Source organism: Homo sapiens, chromosome X, assembly GCF_000001405.40.
Source record: "Homo sapiens chromosome X, GRCh38.p14 Primary Assembly".
Taxonomy (NCBI): Eukaryota; Metazoa; Chordata; class Mammalia; order Primates; family Hominidae; genus Homo; species Homo sapiens.
The window spans coordinates 109532599-109555561 of record NC_000023.11 but is presented as its reverse complement, the minus strand read 5'-3'; the positions used below and the strand labels follow the sequence as shown (position 1 = coordinate 109555561).

The 22963-nt window shown below is 38.7% G+C and overlaps 1 protein-coding gene across 5 annotated transcripts, besides 3 other annotated features; it reads right to left on the bottom strand.

Annotated features, from left to right (window-relative positions):
- NXT2 (nuclear transport factor 2 like export factor 2) lies at positions 10864 to 19738 on the bottom strand. Of its 5 annotated transcripts, NM_018698.5 has the most exons (5): positions 19585 to 19738; positions 18541 to 18625; positions 17431 to 17517; positions 13943 to 14087; positions 10864 to 13055 (listed from the first exon to the last, which is right to left on the bottom strand). In NM_018698.5, exons 1-5 carry the CDS (start codon positions 19677 to 19679, stop codon positions 12874 to 12876), a joined length of 594 nt encoding a protein of 197 aa, NP_061168.2. In that variant the 5' UTR covers positions 19680 to 19738; the 3' UTR covers positions 10864 to 12873. The 5 variants fall into 5 exon arrangements, with proteins under 5 accessions (NP_061168.2, NP_001229546.1, XP_011529291.1 ...); NM_001242617.2 differs by lacking the exon at positions 19585 to 19738 and having other exon boundaries at positions 18541 to 18718; XM_011530989.3 differs by lacking the exons at positions 18541 to 18625; positions 19585 to 19738 and adding an exon at positions 18149 to 18357.
- Positions 18188 to 18247: an enhancer, noted in NCBI's record as "active region_29844". NCBI's record gives its function as "activates an Ori minimal core promoter by ATAC-STARR-seq in GM12878 lymphoblastoid cells {active_cell/tissue: GM12878}" and the evidence as "EXISTENCE:reporter gene assay evidence [ECO:0000049][PMID:35858748]".
- Positions 18358 to 18407: a silencer, noted in NCBI's record as "silent region_20935". NCBI's record gives its function as "represses an Ori minimal core promoter by ATAC-STARR-seq in GM12878 lymphoblastoid cells {active_cell/tissue: GM12878}" and the evidence as "EXISTENCE:reporter gene assay evidence [ECO:0000049][PMID:35858748]".
- Positions 18538 to 18737: an enhancer, noted in NCBI's record as "active region_29843". NCBI's record gives its function as "activates an Ori minimal core promoter by ATAC-STARR-seq in GM12878 lymphoblastoid cells {active_cell/tissue: GM12878}" and the evidence as "EXISTENCE:reporter gene assay evidence [ECO:0000049][PMID:35858748]".

The following is a 22963-nucleotide window of genomic DNA, read 5'->3' as shown; positions in this document are numbered from 1 at the left end:
TGTGCTGACCTCCTATCTCATCCTGTGACTTAGAATGCCTTAACCTCCTGGGAATGCAGCCAAGAAGGTTTCAGCCTCATTTTACCCAGCCCCTACTCATGATGGAGTTGCTCTGATTCAAATGCCTCTGACATATTTCCCCCCTCCCTTTTACAAGCGAACCCTTAATCCTAAGGGTTGTAGAGGGACAAAGATCCATCTTCTGTAACTTCTTCATGCTGAACAGAGGCAATGTTATTCCTACCTAACTACTGGGTCTCTTGTATTCAGGGTAGAAAGGAGCTCAGTCAGAAAGCCTTGGTATGGTGAGGGTCATTCATAATTCTTGAGTTCCAACAAAAGTGATATCTGGAAGATTAATAAGTGCTTAAGAAAATATTGAGTAAGCTTATCCTGCATTCCTACACAAAGAGTATAACAGCATTGTATTGCACAACAGTAAAGCAAAATAAATAAAATTATCCAAGTAAACTAAATTAGAAGGCTTTCCATGAGCGGAGCAACTGTTGGAACCAAGCTGATATGGGATCACTAGCTTATTCCAGTGTGCCCAGAATTAGAATATTGATCTAGATTTTTACATTACCCATCCCTCTTGTTTCTTCTGAGCAGCAGCCAGAGATCACTGGTTGGTTCACAGGAATAAGCAGGTTAGTCTAAATTGCAGGAAAAAAAACCTTAAAAACAACTGATGAGACTAGAATCTAAAAACAGGTGTACCACAGTTGTTGAAACATAATTTTTCTCTCTCCAGTTTCTCATTTTTTACTAAAGACAAATCATGGTATGACTGATTTGCTTTATTATACTTGGCCTGATTATTTGTATAAAGTGCAGCAAGAATAATTATTTTTCACATAGGCTTTTAAAATTGGCTTTGATGGAACTCTGTTCCATAGAAGGAATCTCAAATCAGACTTTTTTTTTAAGCTGAGCCCAGCCATGGGGTTGTACTGTCAAATACCTGTGACTTGGGTAAATTTCTCTCCTCTTGAGGTCCCAAGATAACTTGGGGCTCCTGGGCCTGTCAGAAAGTGACATTCTTACCACAGGTTAGGAACTTACCACAGGTCAGGAACCCTGCACAGGGACTGTGTAGACAAGGTATGAGGCCAGTTTTCCCAAGGGGCCCTGATTGGCTCTATAAGTCAAGTGTGATTCCTTAATGGAAAGCACATCATTCAAGTCAAAGCCTTCCTAAAATAACCAGTATCTCCAATTGTGTCTTGTTGTAAATGAAAACAGATGCTTATTGCACTTATGCAAATAAGTATATTGCCATAAGTTAAGAATACCCACAACTTAGTTTCCAAATTCTGGAGAAATTAGATAGAGCAAAACAAATATCCTCCAAATTTTGTTCACAGGAGTATATTTTACTCAATTGTTGAAAGCTGTTAATAGCTCAAAAGAAAAATTTCCTTGACTGTGAAAAACAAAACAAAGGATCAGCAACGTTTTAAGCAAAAAGTTAAAAAGATTACTTCAGTCTTCTATTAGTTCAGTCCATGCAGTTAAGTCCTGTTTTGCTTGATATCCATTAACATTTCAGCTCTCCATAAGAGTCCTGAAAGTTTTTTCTGCTATTCTAATGTCACAATCTCCAAAGTTATTAGAAACCTTCATTTAAGACCACCTGTTAGAGTTCTATAGTTGATTATAAAACCACCTTCTACAGAGGACCAAAACAAGACAGTAGTCTGTAGATGACAAAAAGTCTTATTAGTTAGGACAGCCACGATTAAAACCACAATTGACAAGGAAATTTTGGTTATTTCTGTGGCATACAACTATTTTACATAACAATGATGATTATTAATAACATACACTAAGTCATATTAGAATTATAGGAGTTTCTCATAATTTTGGAACACATACCAATAACATATTTACACAAATACAGCCCAAAGAAAGCCAAACATCATTTTATATTTGACAATGCTTCCTGCAGGATTTTTATACCAAATAAGACAAATTTCACTGTTGCACTAGTGTACTATTAATGTCAACCCCAATTCTTAATAAAACCTTGTAGACAAATTTATTCCATCTTAATCAGTTTGAACATAAGATTCCTACAAACTTTTTTTCCTCACCTCCTCAGCAAAGTGGATCATAAACCTTTTATAACCCTTTACAATTTTTGTGAAAGAGCAGTTCAGTGCTCTAAGAAAAACCTGTTGTGCTCTTATTCCAATGTTCAATTTACGGAAAAATTGAATACCTTTTTAAATTTTAGGAAATATGTTCACACACAGAATTTTTTTTACAATTAATTTTTTGCAAATCTTCCACAACTTGCTCAAACTTGCAGTTTTATCCCAACTTAAAACAATCCTTTAGCCCTCTAAACTTAGGCAAGAAATCCACATTCCTATGACTTCTTATAATCTTTTACCAAAAACACATTTCACTTTCCTTACACACCTTGCATGTAAAACTGTTTTTATTGCCCAAAGATTACTTAGGTCACATGAACTAAAAGGCATTACAGTTTTTACTTTTCTGATAAAATAAGAACTTATTATTTTTAAGCCAATTAATTAAAGCTCTTTCATATATAAATATCACAGACATAACACATATAAATACACAGACAGAAGAAGATCCAGTACTTGTAAGATTTTTCTTTTGCCAGTTTCTTAAATGGATTACTGGCTTAGGATGGAGCCCTTGGAGGAACAGGGCCAGGAAACAGGAAAGCATGCAGTTTTTAGGGCATAATAAGCAGGCACAGCTGGAAGGCAAAACAGATCCCCTCAAATTAAGGGTCCCATTTTTATACCAGATCCTGGATCCCCAAAAAGGGGGAATCAGCCCATCTCCCAAAACTATACTTCCTACCTAGTTATTACACACTAAAAGTCTCTCATAATGCAAAGTAATTTCTGATACCCCCAAAAGTTAAAAATGTCAGATAATGCAATGCAAAACAGAACAAAGCCTTAGATTTTGAGAGGGATCTATCCACTTTTAATTCCTGGGGTTTCATGAGGAAGACAGAGGTTTTTCCCCAAGCAGGGTCTGTGGTGCCTCCTCTGCTTTTCCTGAGTCCCCACCTATTAGAGCTAGAATATCTGCTTTTAATTAAGCTGACTTTTAACCACAGCACTCTAAAAAAAAGAGTCCTTTTAAAATTTAAAATTTTAAAATTAAAATGTATTACCCAACTTTTAGCCAAGCCAATCGGCCGATATTTTTGGCTTTTGAACTTTACCAAAAGTAACCTAATAGTTGCACTGAGAAAGTAAAACTCAAGACAGTTAGTGGAGGGAAAGAGAACCAACAAATGGCAAAGGTCACACAGATATTAAACCAGAAAGTACTCATTCCCTAAGCTGGGAATTGAACCCAGGCTGCTATTGTGATGGCAGAGACCAAGAGAAAGTACTGCCATGTGGTTACAAGGTTAATCTGCCAAGGACATTTTTCAACATGTGGTCTCTGGGCAAGATGGTCGCCCTGAGTAATAGAAAAGACAGGAAAGAGAAAGAGAGAGAGAGAAGCATTGCTTGCGGCAGGGTGGGGAAGGCGAGCATCTCACAGAGGCCCAAGAAAGATCCACCCATCCCAGCGTGATTGAAAAGTTCAGGCAGCTGCTTGTCGGTTGCAAAGGGATCTTTTCCAGCAGTCCCATTAGCTCTCAAGTTTCCCCTTTTAGGGAGAAAAAAGCTCCCCATGTCCCATGGTCCCATACATGCCTCATCCTGTCACCCACAGCCATCAGCAGACTGCAAGGTAGATTAATTCAAAGAGAATAGCCGTTAACATCCCATAGTGCCAAACCTGTTCGTAGCTGAGAGTACCTTTACTGAGAGGGTCCTCTAACCTCCTAAATCTTAGGAAGGACTCTAACCTTCCTCAATTGGGCCTCCAACCCAAGTTTGGTCAAGCGTTGTTGCCTTTTATTGAGAGGGCCCTTTAACCCTCTCTGTCTTAGGAGAGACTCTAACTCCCCTAAGTTGGGCCTCTAACCCAATCCCATCCTTTACCCAGGTATATGCACCTCACTTACCCAAAGTCGGCCAATTGGTGTGCACAGATGATTTTCCTTTTGGTCACGAGTTTCTTCAGTATCATCCCTTGGGGTTCACCAGAAAAATGTTACCAGAAAGGGCTCCCGATCCAGACCCCAAGAGAGGGTTCTTGCATCTTGAGCAAGAAAGATTTTGAGGGGAGTCCACAGAGTAAAGTGAAAGCATGTTTATTAAGAAAGTAAAGAAATAAAAAGAATGGCTACTGCATAGGCAGAGCAGCCCCAAGGGCTGCTGGTTGCCTATTTTTATGTTTAAAAAAATTATATGCTAAACAAGGAGTGGATTATTCATGCTTTCCCTTTTTAGACTATATAGGGTAACTTCCTGACGTTGCCATGGCATTTGCAAACTGTCATGGTGCTAGTGGGAGTGTAGCAATGAGGATGACCAGAGGTTACTCCTCTTGTCACCATATTGGTTTTGGTGGGTTTTGGCCGCCTTTGTTAGTGCTACCTGTTTTATCAGCAAGGTCTTTATGACCTACATCTTGTGCTGACATCCTATCTCATCCTGTGACTTAGAATGCTTTAATCTCCTGGGAATGCAGCCCAGCAGGTTTCAGCCTCATTTTACCCAGCCACTGCTCAAGATGGAGTTGCTATGGTTCAAACGCTTCTGACACCAAGACTAATGAAATATTCCTTTCAGTTATGGTATTGTTCCAGATACTGCCAGCCAAAATGCAACAACCCCAAGATAAAAGCCTATTGCCTCCAAAGTAATGAGTTAACAGATTTAGCTCGAAAGGAGAGGGTGAGGCCTGAGGGATTTGAAAAGAGGGCAGGCTAGGTCTAGAGTCTACCACAGTGTGGGCCTTAGGAAGCATAGCAATATAGGGCCTGAGAAGGATGGGAGAAAGGGGCATGGAGGTAGGAAGTCTCCTAGTTCCTAGTTTTGCCACTGGCCTTCCAGGGATTTGTGAGTGTATACATATTTTTAGCTGCAGTTCTCATTTTCCTCCCAGTTATTATAAATTACCTGTCTGGGGAGGCTGTTTTTCCTAGTTTCTCTCTCCCGTCTTCCTCTCCTTTTATTTTCAGTTGTTTGGAAAGCAGTATCTTCCCAACTGTCCCTACCTACCATTCTCCCTCACCTTCCCCCAGCTAATTACTCCTTCCATCCCTTCTCCCAGGCTTGTCTTTTCTCCTCAGCAACATCCAAAGCCAGTGAATTATTAGGTCTGAGATTGAGCCCAGACCATTGGGAATCCTGGATGCCACAGATGGACGGATTAGTACCTTAGAAAAATCATTTCCAGAGGCTCTTTCAGAAACAACAAAAAAGAGTCAGGAAAACGGCCGGGCCCGGTGGCTCACACCTGTAATCCCAGCACTTTGGGAGGCCGAGGCGGGCAGATCACGAGGTCAGTAGATCAAGACCATCCTGGCTAACACGGTGAAACGCTGTCTCTACTAAAAATACAAAAAATTAGCCGGGCGCAGTGGCGGGCGCCTGTAGACCCAGCTACTCGGGAGGCTGAGGCAGGAGAATGGTGCGAACCTGGGAGGTGGACCTTGCAGTGAGCTGAGATCAGGCCACTGCACTCCAGCCTGGGTGACAGAGCGAGACCCCTCTCAAAAAAAAAAAAGAGTCAGGAAAACAAAGTGCTTATTGGCTACCTCAGGCAGCTCAGGTTTCCAAGTCAGACCGTGGTACCTGGGCTTGGTTAAGTGTTGCAGGCATCTACTGCCAATTTCTTGCCGTTGAGCAAGAGAATTGGAATGAATAATGTTACAGTCAATTTTGTTTTTCTAGTTACAGAAAGACTACTTGAAAATACATTTGCAAAATTACTATCGTTTCCTTTAGGGCCCTGAATCCTTTTTTTTTTTTTTAACAGTAAAATAACCATCTCTATAAATCTAATCTTAGACTTTTTTTGCGGAGCTGGTTTAACAACTACCTGGTAAAGTCAGGGGCAAGGTTTAGAATGAGTGTCTGGCTGCGGGAAACAGTCACTCTCAATTGATTTTACCCTTAAAGAAAACCAGAATTTTTGGAAGGGAGGAAACCAATCATCAAGCCAAAAACTATAACCATTGTATTTGTGTAGCACGTGGCACTTAAATATTTTCGTTTGTTGCCTTATTTGATTCTCACAACCACTTGGTGGGCCAGATAGGACAAATAGTATTTCCATTCAATAGCTGAAGAGAGAGGCCCAGAGTAAGTGAATTGTGCAAAGTCACAAAACACATTAGGGGCAGAACAGCCTTAGAACACAGGTCTTCTTTGGGTCTGGGACCAGGATTACACCTTAGAGACCACCACAGCCTTTGTCAAACAAGGGGAGTTGATATGTAGATGTTTGGGGTGTTCAAGGAGGGAGGAAAAGGAAAAAAACACATGAAATTTAAAATTTATCAAAATACAGCTTACATAATATCAGATCATGTTCAAAAGTGGTCCTGCTAGAAAGCCTTCTCACTTCTTTCCTTGGACACCTGAAATAGCACAGTTCCTTCCATTTCAACTCCTTTTCATTGCCGCTCATTCTATTCCCAGACTCTGCCTAAAGACTATGTAAACATTTGCTTTCTTAGCTCTGAACTTCTCGTGCAAACCAAAGAACGGGAGGCAAACACTGCTGCCCTTCATGGCCCTCAACAAATATGAAAAACCTGAGAAGAGAAAGAAGTTTTTGGTCACTTCTAAGTCAGGGTGACATCATTGATATATGGCACTACCTATTGGAAGCCAGCCCTATACCCCTACTCAAAAGTGATAGTGAAAATATGCTTGATCTATTTTTGTGTTTTTCAAACTGATGGTACAACCCGTTAGGAAGTTGTAAAAAAATCAGTTGAGCAACTTATGACCAGCATTTAAAAAAAATAATAGAATGAAATAGAAAATGCAAGGACCACACTGCAAGTGGTAAACGTGAGTTTTATTTTGGACATTATACACACACACACACACACACACACACACACACATACACCCACATATATAGGTTTACTTGTGCATCTGTATACCGGGTTGTGATGTAAAATATACTTCTCACTGTGGGTCATAGTGAAAATTTTGAAAGCTCTCTCTCTAAAGAATGCATATACCACAATCCCAGATTTATGTTGTGTCCTAAGACCCCTCCATCTGACACATTATTCCAACAATACATTTTTCTACCTTTTACTGCTTCCCTAGAAAGCTAGACTGACCTACATAGCTGACTGAGAGTCACTGAGAACTCTTTTGTAAAGAAAGCTGCATTTGGCAAAAGGTAAGCATTTATTAATAGAATACAGCAGTTTGGAAAAAAGTGTTTCGATGAAATACTTTTATTATACAGAGCCAACTACAAAATCAAAAAGCCAAAAATGCCTTACCATTTTCCCCTAAATATGTGTGGTTATGTTAAAGCACACATAGGACAGGAAGGACAACACAGGCTTATAACAAAAATCAGTAAATGGAATCCCCTTCTACCAAATTTCCTGCCCAATTTCAGGCAAATAGTGAATTCATCAAAATTTCAGAAAAGAATTCACAGTACCTTCTTGGCTTTTGACTTCCTGCTCCTTTTCCAAACACTGTGCTTATCCTTGAACCTTACTGGGGCTATCTTTATAGATACACTATACATTACTAGGTGATTTCCAAAAAGTATGAAAATGTTACCATGACTCAAATTCACTGAGGAATCTGTGGCTCTTACAGCCATATGGGCTACTCAAGAAATACAAATGGCATGGTGACAGAATTTGTTTGAGTCATGAATTATTAGTCTTGTAAGCTTACAGCCTTTTACTTCCACTAACGCCTACAAATTTAGACCTAAGTAGATTCCTAGCCATTTTTATCTAGGCAAAACTCCTAAGATGCCATTGTTTATAAGACTCACCATTACTTTACCACTGAGAAAGGGGAAATGAGACACAACTATAATATGGCATCAATTTAAGATCTGTACCAATTCCAGAGATGTTAAAATGTGAAAAATACATGCATCTTTGAAGAGATAAAATATGATATTTAATTTTAAGAGCTATTACTGTGCTTTAAAATTAGAGATGAGGTCTTGCTGTTGCCCATGCTGGAGTGCAGTTGTGCAGTTATGGCTCATTGCAGCCTTGAGCTCCTGGGCTCAAGCGATGCTCCCAACTTAGCTTCCTGAGTAGCTGGGCATATGCCATTTTGCCCTGCTAACTTACTTTTGTAGAGACAGTGGTCTTGCTATTTTGCCCAGGCTGGTCTCGAATTCCTGGGCTCAAGTGATCTGCCCACTTCAGCCTCAGAAAGTGTTAAGATTACAGGCGTAAGCCACCATGCCTGGCTGGCTGTTGCTTCTTCTCATTCCCCTCCAAAAAAGTCTGCTGACATATATATTTTTTTAATTTTCTTTTTTTATTATACTTTAAGTTTTAGGGTACATGTGCAGAACATGCAGGTTTGTTACATATGTATACATGTGCCATGTTGGTGTGCTGCACCCATCAACTCATCCTTTACATTAGGTATTTCTCCTAATGCCATCCCTCCCCACTCCCCCCACCCCACAACAGGCCCCGGTGTGTGATGTTCCCCACCCTGTGTCCATGTGTTCTCATTGTTCAATTCCCACCTGTAAGTGAAAACATGCGGTGTTTGGTTTTCTGTCCTTGCCATAGCTTGCTCAGAATGATGGTTTCCAGCTTCATCCATGTCCCCAGAAAGGACATGAACTCATCCTTTTTTATGGCTGCATATTAGTCCATGCTGTATATGTGCCACATTTTCTTAATCCAGTCTATCATTGATGGACATTTGGGTTTGTTCCAAGTCTTTGCTATTGTGAATAGTGCCACAATAAACATGTGTGCATGTGTCTTTACACCAGCATGATTTATAATCTTTTGGATATATACCCAGTAATGGGATGGCTGGGTCAAATGGTATTTCTGGTTCTAGATCCTTGAGGAATCGCCACACTGTCTTCCACAATGGTTGAACTAGTTTACAATCCCACCAACAGTGTAAAAGCGTTCCTATTTCTCCACATCCTCTCCAGCACCTGTTGTTTCCTGACTTTTTAATGATCGCCATTCTAACTGGTGTGAGATGGTATCTCATTGTGGTTTTGATTTGCATTTCTCTGATGGCCAGTGATGATGAGCATTTTTTCATGTGTCTGTTGGCTGCATAAATGTCTTAAGAAGTGTCTGTTCATATCATTTGCCCACTTTTTGATGGGTGGATTTTTTTCTTGTAATTTTGTTTAAGTTCTTTGTAGATTCTGGATATTAGCCCTTTGTCGATTCTGGATATTAGCCCTTTGTCAGATGGGTAGATTGCAAAAATTTTCTCCCATTCTGTAGGTTGCCTGTTCACTCTGATGGTAGTTTCTTTTACTGTGCAGAAGCTCTTTAGTTTAATTAGATTCCATTTGTGTATTTTGGCTTTTGTTGCCACTGCTTTTGGTGTTTTAGTCATGAAGTCCTTGCCCATGCCTATGTCCTGAATGATACTGCCTAGGTTTTCTTCTAGGGTTTTTATGGTTTTAGGTCTAACATTTAAGCCTTTAATCCATCTTGAATTAATTTTTGTATAAAGTGTAAGGAAGGGATCCAGTTTCAGCTTTCTACATATGGCTAGTCAGTTTTCCCAGCACCAGTAGGGAATCCTTTCCCCATTTCTTGTTTTTGTCAGGTTTGTCAAAGATCAGATGGTTGTAGATGTGTGTTATTATTTCTGAGGGCTCTATTCTGTTCCATTGGTCTATGTCTCTGTTTTGGTACCAGTACCATGCTGTTTTGGTTACTGTAGCCTTGTAGTATAGTTTGAAGTCAGGTAGCATGATGCCTCCAGCTTTATTCTTTTTGCTTAGGATTGTCTTGGCAATGCAGGCTCTTTTTTTAGCTCCATATGAACTTTAAAGCAGTGTTTTCCAATTCTGTGAAGAAAGTTCTTGGTAGCTTGATGGGGATGGCATTGAATCTATAAATTACCTTGGGCAGTATGGCCATTTTCACAATATTGATTCTTCCTATCCATGAGCATGGAATGTTCTTCCATTTGTTTGTGTCCTCTTTTATTTCGTTGAGCAGTGGTTTGTAGTTCTCTTTGAATTAATTGCCTCCCACAGGGGTTTCTTCTTTATTAGTCTTACTAGTACTCTATCTATTTTGTTGATCTTTTCAAAAAACCAGCTCCTGGATTCATTGATTTTTTGAAGGGTTTTTTTTTGTGTGTGTGTGTCTCTATCTCCTTCAGTTCTGCTCTGATGTTAGTTATTTCTTGCCTTCTGCTAGCTTTTGAATGTGTTTGCTCTTGCTTCTCTAGTTTTTTTAATTGTGATGTTAGGGTGTCGATTTTCGATCTTTTCTGCTTTCTCTTGTGGGCATTTAGTGCTATAAATTTCCCTCTACACACTGCTTCAAATGTGTCCCAGAGATTCTGGTATGTTGTGTCTTTGTTCTCATTGGTTTCAAAGAACATCTTTATTTCTGCCTTCATTTCGTTATTTACCCAGTAGTGTTGACATATTTTTAATGTAGAATTAAATTTAATGAACCATTCTTTCTGGAAATCAACTGTATTTTGGTTTCACTGCCTATCGAATATAGCATTTTAGCTGGTTTCTCAAGGTTAAGATTTCCAACTTCTCACCAAAAACCTACAGGTATCTCAAACAAGTGATGATCTCAGGAATGTGAATAATTGGCAGGAAAAGGAGACAGATGTGGCAGGTTACAGAAAGAACCAAAAGAAGATCCAAGTTGTTAACCATTGTTGTCAACACACTACTGTAATTTTTTTCTAAATTTAAAAAACCTTATATTGTAAAGAAACAAGTAACCATTCTGAAACCTAAGAACAAAAATCAAAAGACCTTAAAACAATCTTGAGAAAATCTGTCACAAGGCAAAATTTTATTTTTTCAAGTTACAAAAATAGGAGCATGTCAAAAATACAGTCTAGTCCTTATACGAGTAGTTCCAGCCATTTAAAAGTTATACAGAGTTTGGAAAAAGCAGTTTATATACAAGTCTTAAAACACAACAATCATGAACAATGCACACCGTTCAATGTAGTTATTGCTAGTTATATGCAGCTTTTAGTTACCATTGTTCTTCTCTGTAAGGGAAAGGACAGCATTTGGACATTCTGATTGTTGCTGCTGAAGCTGTGGTTTTGGAAAATCAATCCAAAATAAGAATAAGCTCACTATGAGTAGAATAAAACGTGTAAGTTTCAATCAGTACTACAAGAAAGCATGGTTTAAATTTGAGTTCCATACAATTCTACATAACTCTATTTTGTTACTATAACAGAAATACAGTGTATAGTTTTGGGCAAGAGTAAATGAATTACTGGTTTTATAATTAAGTGAAAAGAAACAGTTTTTGGTTGCAATGTAGAAACAAAGCTGGCATATCTAGCTTACAAACATTAAAAAATGGAAAAGATATTTAATGTTTAAGCAAAAGCTGAACCTAGGTTATTTACCTTTAGAAATTAAGAGATAAAGTTAAGCATTTTGTTCTTTTGAGGATTATCATGAAGATTTGCTATTCTCTATTTTCTTTTTAAAAAGAAGAGTTATCCACATAGCGGGAACATATTTTGAAACAGATCTATTTGCTCAATGTCATATGGAAGAACAAATCACAAAATTAAATAATTCTACCTTTAAATAATTAAAGATAATGCAGTTGACAGTACAAAGCACTGGGAAAAAATCACTTATTTGGGGGATGTGTGATACATAAGAAACTTTGGGCCTAAAGTTCACATGGAAGACTGGAAGACTTAAAATTTAAGGGTGTCACCAAAAGATAACAATGGCTTTGACTCCAACTCTCATGTTAGACCCTGTTAAAAGGTTAGGTTTATTGCTGTTATTTTACCCCAGTAAGTTATTGAATAAATGGAGATATACATTGGTGATAAGTATGAGGTGAAGTAAAAAGATCTAAAAATATTAGTCTTAGAACAAAAATGACACTCATGATCACTTGGCAAGGATACTTATTTACTTAGTGATTTAAATCCTAAAAATAAGCTACATTTTTAGGAGGTAGAAAACAAGTACCAATAGTTTACCATTTGGCCACCCTCCTTACTTTTGGCTTCAGCCTTGGATTTCTATTTCTCATTCCCTATTCTCCTGTTAAAGCTATTAGTTCTACTACCATTCATTACCTAAATGTATAGACCTGGAGCTGCCAAGAAAAATCTTTTTAGGAAGCTTTGCTTTTAAGCCACCAAATGCACCCAATACTCAGATATCAACTGAGAACGTTTTGCACCTCTCTAGTTGATTAATTTACTTCACACAAAAAAATGCCAAAACAAAAATTACTTAAAATGAAAAACGACCACTGAACATCTCTATATGCAATTCCAGTATGTCAGAGTAGTTATGTAAACCTAAATCTGTACTATTTTCACTGAACTGATTTGAAAAAGCCATATATTAAAATGGCATTACCAGTGTTAACTGAAAACAGGCAACGTGTTTTACTAGAAAATTAACCTAATAACCAAAAAACTCCACTTCTTCCCAGAGTGTTATATTGTGCTGACATCCCATAGATAATATTATAAAAAGATTTTATTTTTGCAATAGGCTGGGTTCACAGTGAGTATGTTAGTACCAAGATCATGTGTTTAATATTATTATAAGAATGTCATTAGTGGAATGTATATAAGGCATGTAAAAAAATAGTTTTAAAGCTCTTAGAGGGCAATGCTCCAAACTGGCAGCTGCTAGAAAAGGTGCTGACAGGAATAGAAAATATTAAAGAAATTTAGTTTCAGCACATATTATAGTGCTTCTACAATCAAAATAATTCACATAAATTTCAATTGCTGGAACTAATGGACCAAATGAGAATGGACTTTTGCCCCTTTAACTACTAGACCAATCTTGAAAACGGAAGCAATCACTTGCAATCTTCCACACAGTATTGTTGGGAGTGGACTGAGCAGTCAGCAGGAAGTTCTGGTTGAAGAAATGTTGTTTGTTTCCATCAAACTTCACAGTTCCACTGGTCACAACAAGAACTGTAGTTTGGGACTGAGTTGCTTGCTCTTCATCCACATTAAAAAAAAAAGAGAACACATCATTTTCTATCTCTAAATAAGCAGATTTTCAGGCTTAAAATACATTGTTTATGGACTAATGCTTAAAATTTTTTTCATACACTTTCTGTCCCTTGAGCATAATCTTAAGCATGCATACTCAAACCCAGAAAACTAAGTACTTAGTAAAAGATATTAAAATTATTTTCAGTCCAGAAAACTTTGGGATACTCTAGTTTCAAAATGAGGAGCTTATATCTAGCATAGGACCATTTGCTTCATATATATATAAATATTTCAGAATTAATATTTCAGGTTTCTAACAGAGCTTATTCATGCTTTGCTTCTTAAACTATTGTTCTTTTCAGGAATTATAAAGGAAAAAAATCACCCTGAACTACAATTTAAGACACTTAGGACCCCACCTAGAGGTTTTATTAAACTGTATCAATCTACCTGGAATCAAATTTTCTTGTAAAAAGTCATCCTTTCACATAACAGAGTAAATTTCTGTGAAATATTAGTAGATTGTAAGATACTGAACACATTAATCAGAGATATGGTATAATTTTACTCTGGAGACATTTCAGGGTCCAGCAGGCAACTATTTAGAGAAATCAGATAATCTTTCCCTGCCATTTACAAAAATCACATTAATCTCAACTTTTCATACAACTTTTAATAAGCCAAAATCACATAATCCATCAAAAGCTACTAGTGGAAAGAATCTGAAGGAAGACCAAAGTTTGACTGGACAGTTACATTTTTCATAATATTTAACTTGCTCAAGTAAGTAAATAGTTCTACCACTAAAAGTTTCTCGCTGCTTTTGGTGTAAAAGCTCAGTGCTTACTAGAGGAAAACAAAGGAAGCATCTTGAAAGATCATGATCTTACCATGAACTGGTTGGCAATCTAACATATTGACCTGGAACTCACTAGAAGGCAATGTGTCAAAAAAATTATTTAGGGCATCCAGCCCTGAAACAGCATTTCCATTCCATATTAAGGTGGCCTTGTCCAGATACAGCCTGGTTAGTGCCTAAAAAGAAAGACAAATTTAAAAAAGGGAAATAATTCTGTTTCTAGATAAACATTTTATAGAAATGGATTAAAATATTACAGATGGTATATAAACATTTTTTGTAGTTCTACCTTCATCTCCACTCCCCTTGCTCCATCTCCACTGGAAACCCATGTGAACAAAACGTCTGTCTTATAATCTTGGCCTTAAATAAATATCACCTTACTCTTTATAAACTAGGCAGTAAAATATATTTTTTCATATTTCACTTTAGACACAATAAAACCTTCCACCCAATTAAGTTCTGCTTTCTGTATTCAAATGAATTAAATGATCACAAATTCCAAGCAAATGCAGCCCCAAGCCAGTTTTAGTGTGTCTTCCTTTTGTAATTATGAGAATTAACAAAGTTTTTGATCAAGCCCTACCTGTACCCTTTAATGCTAGTGGCTATATATATATATGAAACATTTAATATTTGCATGTGTTAGAAAGAATTAGTTCACTACTCCCACTTTTTAGAGAAGAGGTTTATGTTTTCTTAAAAATTATTCTGTTTTTTAAAAAAATTGAGACAGGGTCCTGCTCTGTTGCCTCAGGCTGGTCTCAAACTCTTGGGGTCAAGAAATCCTCTTGCCTCAGCCTCCCAAGTAGCTGGGGTTACAGGCATGTCATACCATGCTCGGCTATAGTACTACTCTATTAGTGTACTTAGTTCAAAAGAATCATGAGTACTTGCTAAAGCAGAGACTTCGATAAGTCAAATAAGTTAAGGCCCAAATGAGGCAGAAATTCCACAGTTAAAACTCTGGGGTCACAAGACACACTATTAGCTTAATTCTATAATGTAACTTGGGTTAAAAGGCCAGGCAGGCATGGTGGCTCACGCCTATAATACCAGCACTTTGGGAGGCTGAGGCGGGTGGATCATGAGGTAAGGAGTTCAAGACCAGCCTGGTCAAGATGGTGAAACCCCATCTCTACTAAAACTACAAAAATTAGCCGGGCGTGGTGGCAGTTGCCTGTAATCCCAGCTACTTGGGAGGCTGAGGCAGGAGAATCGCTTGAACCCGGGAGGCAGAGGTTGCAGTTAGCCAAGATCGCGCCACTGCACTCCAACCTGGGTGACAGAGTGAGACACCATCTCAAAAAAAAATAAATAAATAAAAATAAAAAAAAAGGTCAACACATATATTGACACTGGTAATAAACAATGTTGTCTTTTTTTTTCTACTTTATTTTTTGAAAGCAGTAAGGTACAATACACATTCAAGGCAAGGCACAATAAACATCCATTGTCACAACCCTTTTCCCTGACATCAAATATCAGTACAAGAAACTTCTTTTATCTTTTGCCTTAAAAAATTGGTTTTCACCTGACAAAAACAAGCAATGGGGAAAGGATTCCCTATTTAATAAATGGTGCTGGGAAAACTGGCTAGTCATATGCAGAAAACTGAAACTGGACCCCTTCCTTACACTTTATACAAAAATTAACTCAAGATGGATTAAACACTTAAACGTAACACCCAAAACCATAAACCTAGGCAATATCATTCAGGACACAGGCATGGGCAAAGAGTTCATGACTAAAACACCAAAAGCAATGGCAATAAAAACCAAAATTGACAAATGGGATCTAATTAAACTAAACAGCTTCTGCACAGCAAAAGAAACTATCATCAGAGTGAACAGGCAGCCTACAGAATGGGAAAAAATTTTTGCAATCTATTAATTTCCAAATCTACAGGAACTTAAACAAATTTACAAGAAAAAACAACCCCATCAAAAAGTGGGCAAAGGATATGAACAGACACTTCTCAAAAGAAGAAGTGGCCAGCAAACATATGAAAAAATCCTCATCATCACTGGTCATTAGAGAAGTGCAAATCAAAACCACAATGAGATACCATCTCACGCCAGTCAGAATGGCAATCATTAAAAAGTCAGGAAACAACAGATGCTGGAGAGGATGTGGAGAAATAGGAATGCTTTTACACTGTGGGTGGGAATGTAAATTAGTTCAACCATTATAGAAGACAGTGTGGCCATTTTTCAAGGAACTAGAACCAGAAATACCATTTGACCCAGCAATCCCATTACTGGGTATATACCCAAAGTATTATAAATGATTCTACTATAAAGACACATGCACACATATGTTTATTGTGGCACTATTCACAATAGCAAAGACTTGGAACCAACCCAAATGCCCATCAATGTTAGACTGGATAAAGAAAATGTGGCACATATACACCATGGAATACTATGCAGCCATAAAAAAGGATGAGTTCCTGTTCTTTGCAGGGACATGGATGAAGTTGGAAACCATCATTCTCAGCAAACTAACACAGGGACAGAAAACCAAACACAGTTATGTTTTCACTCATAAGTAGGAGTTGAATAATGAGAACACATGGACACAGGGAAGGGAACATCACACACCTGGGCCTGTCAGGGGGTGGGGGGCTAGAGGAGGGATAGCATTAGGAGAAATACCTAATGTAGATGACGGGTTGATGGGTGCAGCAAACCACCTTGGCACGTGTATACCTATGTAACAAACCTGCACATTCTGCACATGTATCCCAGAACTTAAAGTATATATATATATAAAATCCTATGCTTAATAAATGGGTTTTATATAAAAAATAGGTTTTTAGAGATAGGGTATTAACTTTTGCAGCTGCAGGACAGAAGTAGTTCTCCAAAGCACAGTTCTATGCTGGTAAGAGACCTAGGCAAGACTCACTTGACCACATACTGACATAATTACGTAAAAGATATGGTGCAGGGATAAGTTGCAATGAAAAAGCTGATGAAATCTCGGTCTGTTGAGGACTTAATATTATCCATGCTACATGCATACTTTTTGTGGGTGTAAGCTATACTTTTGAGCCATGATCAGAAATTATCTATAAATATATGAAATAAAAGGGGCGAATCAGGAAATATTCCCCGTAATGACCCACCCCTTCATTAGCACTAATAATACCTTAACCATATTGGTTAATTGATGGAACTAAGAAAAGGAAACATATTTAAGAAAATATGCTGGGCCTAATGTTAAGTGCGGTATTTTAATTAATTCATACTTACCAACCTGAAAATAAAATGAGGTTAAGGGAAAATGGCAACTTGCTCCAGGTCAAAGAACTAGGTAAAAGTAAACCTGGGATATGATTCCAGAGCCCATGTTCCCACTAATGCCATACCAATCCTTCCCTGAGCAATTTGCTTTTAAAGAGTAAATCCACAGTTACCACTTATGCAAGTCAGATGAAACGCTGGCTCCAGACACAACCTGGTATTTAATAAAGAGTAGTAGTCTATAAAGAGTAGTAGAGTCTATAACACTCACCCGTCTTCTTTTATCCATTGTCTCATAGTAAATATTGACAAACTCCTCAGCAGCTCTACATGCCTGATCTACATAAGTTTTAAAATCCTACAAGAAAAATTCCAGAAGTATAGATTACCAACCTTTTCAACCCCTCACAAACACAAAACCACTGACAGAAGCTGATGATTTATTTCAACCACTATGTAGCTCTATATACAGTCCACATTCTTTCATATAAATTCAGACATTTTAAAGGCCGGACTCTGAAGTTTGCAATTTTAAAATTTTTCACTAATTTTAAGTGCATGTCTTTAGGACATAATCTTCTCAATGAATCTGAGTCTTTTTCAGTCTCCACATATAAATTTATAATCTTTTCTTGGCAACTAAGCACTTTAGACTTTCAATATTTTACAAACATTCACGGCAATGAAAATGACACCACCTGAACCTTAGAAAAGGAGAGAGAGCGGCAAAAACTGCCACTGAATAAGCTAGGAAATTGTTTTCTGTTTTCAAGTGAGGTGTTAGAGCCAAACTCCAAAGTTGATGAATGGGAAACACACACACACACACACACACACACACACGAAAGTAGTTCAACTACTTGAAAAACCGGCAGCTCCACTTAGGAAACTTTCCCACATTGCGTAAATATTCACTGCTGTTTGCCTAAGAACTGTGACACCGAAGAAAGCAACGCTGTTGGCGTTCGTGCCGGAGAATTAAGGAATACCTTCCTTCTCATTCATGTACGGGGCCCAGTCTATTACTAAATTAAGAACAATGAATCGCCAGTTTCTTTGTCAGGTGACTGAAAGTGATTTTTAGAGAGGAAGATAATCGAGAGAAAGAAACTGCAAGCCATAAACAACAAACCCCAACATCCCCGCCTCTCGCTATTTCCCAGCTCAGGGTCCTTTCCGGGATCAGAAAGCGACTGCTAACCAGGCTGGGGGTGGGGCCGGCAGGGCGGGCAGCAAAGCGTGGGCCCCGCCCCGCAGTGCAGAGAGCCGGGACGTGATTCGTCACCTATCCACGTGAGCAGCAGCCAGACCGCCCCGGAATCCCTCCTCTCAGCCACTGGAGTCCGGCGCCCAGCCGTCCTGCCACGGCCCAGGCACTCACCAGAGACGTGGCCATCTGGGACCTTGTAGCAGTGTGTTCTGGCAGTGTCGGCGTCACTACCTCCTCACGTGTCCGGTCCGCAGGGCTGCGGAATGATCAATACTTATGAAGAGAGCGAAACCCGCCAAACGCACAAAATTTTCCACCCTCCCATTCTCTCCCGGAAGTAGCTCGGTCCGTCGTTAAAAGCACACCGATGTTCCAACCTTAAGTTCCACTTCCCTTCAGTTCCTGAAGATCCCTCCCATCCACCTTATCTACTTGTTTGATACTTAGTTTAAAATTTAAAAGCCACTTTGCTTTTGTAAACATGATACTCAACAGGAAAGTCCCCTACTTTTCTAACGACAAGCCTGGGGACAAGCAAAAATGAAAGTGTTCAATTACAGGGACTTTTTTGCCCCAGGAGGCGGAGCCAAAGCCCTCTGAAGACCAATTAGAAATGCGAGGAGACCTACTATTCCGTAGCCTATAGGATAAGTGGGCAGAGCTTGGGGAAAGGCGTGCGTGACTAGTGAACAATTTAGCATTCTGGAACGTTCTGGAAGGATCATCCTCACTGAATTACTACGTTTTGGCAGTATGCCTAAAATTACTATTTCATTTTAACCCAGCCACATTGAACAGGAAAAGTTCATCTGGTTTCTCCATTCTGGCATTTTAAAATGTCTCACGGACACCAACAAAAATTAAGTTTACAGTGCTATTCACCATCTTTTAAGGGCTATTTATTCTGCAAGGTATTCTAACAATAACTAAAATGTCGAGTGCTGACTATATGTAAGGTGCTTTTCTAATCAGTTTTACATATATTCACTTATTATAACAATGCTGAGGTAATTGCTATTATTTTATCATCTTCATTTTACAGCTAAGACTGTAAAATCTGCCTACGGTCACAAACTAGTTGAGATTCAAACTCAAGCAATATAACTGTCATGGCAATGTGGCTTTGCTCCCCAACACCCCTTAAAAACCTCTCATCCCAAAGCCGCCAATGACTTCTGATTTAAATGGCAAATTAATTAGATGTCGTAGTTTTACCTTGAGTGGCTGGTGTGTGGCCCCTCATAATAGTTACTTCTTCTTTGGTATCCTTCTCTGTCTCCCTGAGACCAGTGGCTTCTGTATTTTCTCATACTTTTAATCTTTCTCTTTATCTGGCTCTTTTCTCTTCAAGGTAGGACTAACGGAAGCTTCTTCTCAGCCAGCCAGCTTCCGTTTTCCGTTAACCTCTGACTGGCGTCACTTCCGGTGCATCCCCCCTTTTAAAGCCTCCCTTCTTCAGGGTGATCTAAATTGCTACTCGTATGCTAATGAATCTCAACAACCTATCCCAAGCCCCCACCCCTTATCTGAGCTCCAATTACACATAATAATTTTGCTAAACATGAACGTGACTGCACTATAGGCTTCTCAAACTTGTACGTCCAAAATTTAAACTCATTATTTCCTCCGCACTTCCAAACTTTTATATTCTCCCAGTCACCTATCTTGAATTCTCGGAATCTTTATTTTTTTGGTTCCGCTCTCCTCCTCATCATAATTCATTCAATAAATATTTATCAAGTATTCACTATGTGCCAAAGATTGTGCAAGGCTCTGTATATAGAGTGGTGAATAAAATAGGCATGTTTCGAATCCTTGTGAGGCTCAAAGTGTAATGAGAGTGCTAGACAATAAACATAACATTGAGTTACAAAGAAATACTAAGTAACTTGCTTAGTTCTGACCATTCCCTATAGCAACCCTTCTCCCTCTTCCCCTCCCCTCCCCTCCTCCTCCTCCTCCTCCTCTTCTTCTTTTTTTTAGAGACAGAGTCTCACTCTGTGGCCCAGGCTGGAGTGCAGTGGCATGATGTTGGCTCGCTGCCAACCTCCGCCGCCCGGGTTCAAGTAATTCCCTTGCCTCAGCCTCCCGAGGAGAGTAGCTGGGACTGCAGGCGCCAGCCACCACGTCCGGCTAACCCTCTTCGTTTTTCTCCCTCGCTCTTCTTGGCTCTCTCCCTCCCTTTCTCCCCCACACTTCTCTCACTTTCCCCATCTCATTCTCTCCTCCCTCTCTCACCCCCACTTCTCTCTCTTTCCCCCTCTCATTCCCCCTCTCATTCTCTCCTCCCACACAAACTTTGATAACTCTATTGTCTATTTTCTTCCAAATTCTCATAATCTTTAAATACCTACCTTGGTCTGATCTGAATTTATTTTCCCAGGCTATTCTCCCAAATTCACCAACACTGGCAAAGTTAACTACTACTGTTTGCCAAGAATGACTGATGTTTACTACTTCATTGGTGATTGTTTTTCTTGATTGAGAGATTGTGTTTTATATGATTTCATTCAATCCTCACAACCCCCAGAAAGGCAGACATTATTATCTAGATTTTTAAAAATTTAAACTTAAGTTTAAAGAAGTTAAGTAAATTGGTTAAGATGATACAGCTAGTGGACCTGGGATTTCAGTCCCAAACTTTCAAATCCCAAAGTCTGCTTTTAGACACTTGGCTATTCATGCATTTACTTATATATTCTTATTTTGGAATGTTCCCTCCATTTCTACCTGCCCTTCAGGGACCAGAACAGGTGCGATCTTCCCTATGAAGTCTTCCCTCATTTCATGTCCCCTGAACCCCAACTGTTGTGAGCTCTTTAATGGCTATGAGAATGGCTATTGGTGTGGGAAATAGTGTTGAAAAATATGGGAGGGTTGAAGTACTGGAAAGGGACAGCTGAGTTAGAGGTGGAGGGGAGCTCAGTTTTGCACTGAATTTTTGCACAGAATTTTGTGCTACAAAGTGGAAATTGCTACATTGTGCTACAAAGGTAGGAGACTGGGTAAACTGATAATATAGAAACCAATGATGGGCTCTGGTTGTCAGAGCAGTGAATTTAAAGATATGAAAACTATGTTGGATGGAGGGGGAGGGATGCAAATGGAAACAAAGTGAATAAGACACGGAGTTGCTCTTCACTAGATAACTGCAAATGTATAAAACTTGGGAAGAATGACTAGGAAGGGTGTGAAAGAGCTTTTCTTGGAACACAGCATAGCATTTTGATTGAGCACATTGTTGTTGGCACCAGTCTGGGCTCAAATCCTAATCATGCTACTGACTAGTTTTGTGACCTTGGCAAAATTACCATTCCATGACTCATACTCCCGATCTGTAAAATGGAAATGATATTAGTACATATTTCACAGCATTGCTTTAGGAATTAAATGAGTCAGTGCCTGTCATATAGTTCCTGCTTGAGGAGCATTATTTTCCTACCCATGGCAGAGGAAATTAGGCAGCCACTTATTTGAGAGTATGAGGCGGGTCCAGATTAGATAACATATGAGGTATTGAGAGGCATCTATCTGCACAGTTTAGGAGATGGCTGGTGACCCTGGGATAACAGACTGTAAGGAGCAATAAATTGTGTCAGGTAGGATTAAATGAGGCTGTGCTGTGCAGCCAGATCTTCTGATCAAGTGTAAACCTAATGGAATTAATGTTGTTGGGAATTACCAACATCCCCATCTGAATCTTTGCCTTGCTCAAGACTTGAGAAGAACTAATCTAGAACAACCAGGGAAGTGATCTGAGCAGTCAACTCCTTCCTCTGAGCTCCTTAATTGGTAACCATAGTGTTCACATCAAATAGTGCTTTTAAAAAAAAGTTTAATTGAGATATAATTCACATATACAATTCACTAATTTAAAAACCAATTCAGTGGTTTTTAGTATATTTACAGTTATTCAAGCATCACTGCACAACTTTAAAACATTTTTAACACCTCGAAGAGAAACCTCTTTCCCACTTCCCTTTTTACCCCAGCTCCTAGCAACCACCAATCTACTTCCTGTCTCTATGTATTTGCCTATTCTGGACATTTCATATAAATGTAATCCTACATTATGTGGTCCTCTGTGTCTGGCTTCTTTCACTTAGCAGAATATTTTCAAGATTCATCTGTGTTGTAGCATGTATGAACATTTCATTCTTTTTAATTGCAGAATAATATTCCATGGTATGAGTATAACACATTTTATTTATTCATCCATCCATTGATGGACATTTGGATGGTTTCTACTTTTTGGCTGTTATAAACAACGTTTCTAGGAACATTCGTGTACAAGTTTTTGTATTGACGTATCCTAGATACCTAGGGGTGGAATTGCTAATTCATATTGTAATTTATGTTTAATGTTTTAAGGAACTGTCAACCTGCTTTCCACAGTGGTTACAACATTTTACATTTCTGCCAGCAATGCATGAGGGTTCCAATTTCTTGACATCTTTACCAACACTTGTTATTGTCTGTATTTTTTATTACAGCCATCTTAGTGGGCATTGTGGTTTTGATTTGCATTTCCCTGATACCTAATGATATTGAGCATCTTTTCATGAACTTATTGTCCATTTGTATATCTTCTTTG

Coding starts and splice junctions, on each gene's coding strand:
- NXT2 (NM_018698.5), bottom strand. CDS start 19,679: ATGAGAAAATACAGAAGCCACTGGTCTCAGGGAGACAGAGAAGGATAC. Junction 17,518..18,540: donor CCCAGATGGCCACGTCTCTG/GTGAGTGCCTGG, acceptor TTTTTCTTGTAG/GATTTTAAAACTTATGTAGA. Junction 14,088..17,430: donor CAATGGATAAAAGAAGACGG/GTGAGTGTTATA, acceptor CTTTCTTTTTAG/GCACTAACCAGGCTGTATCT.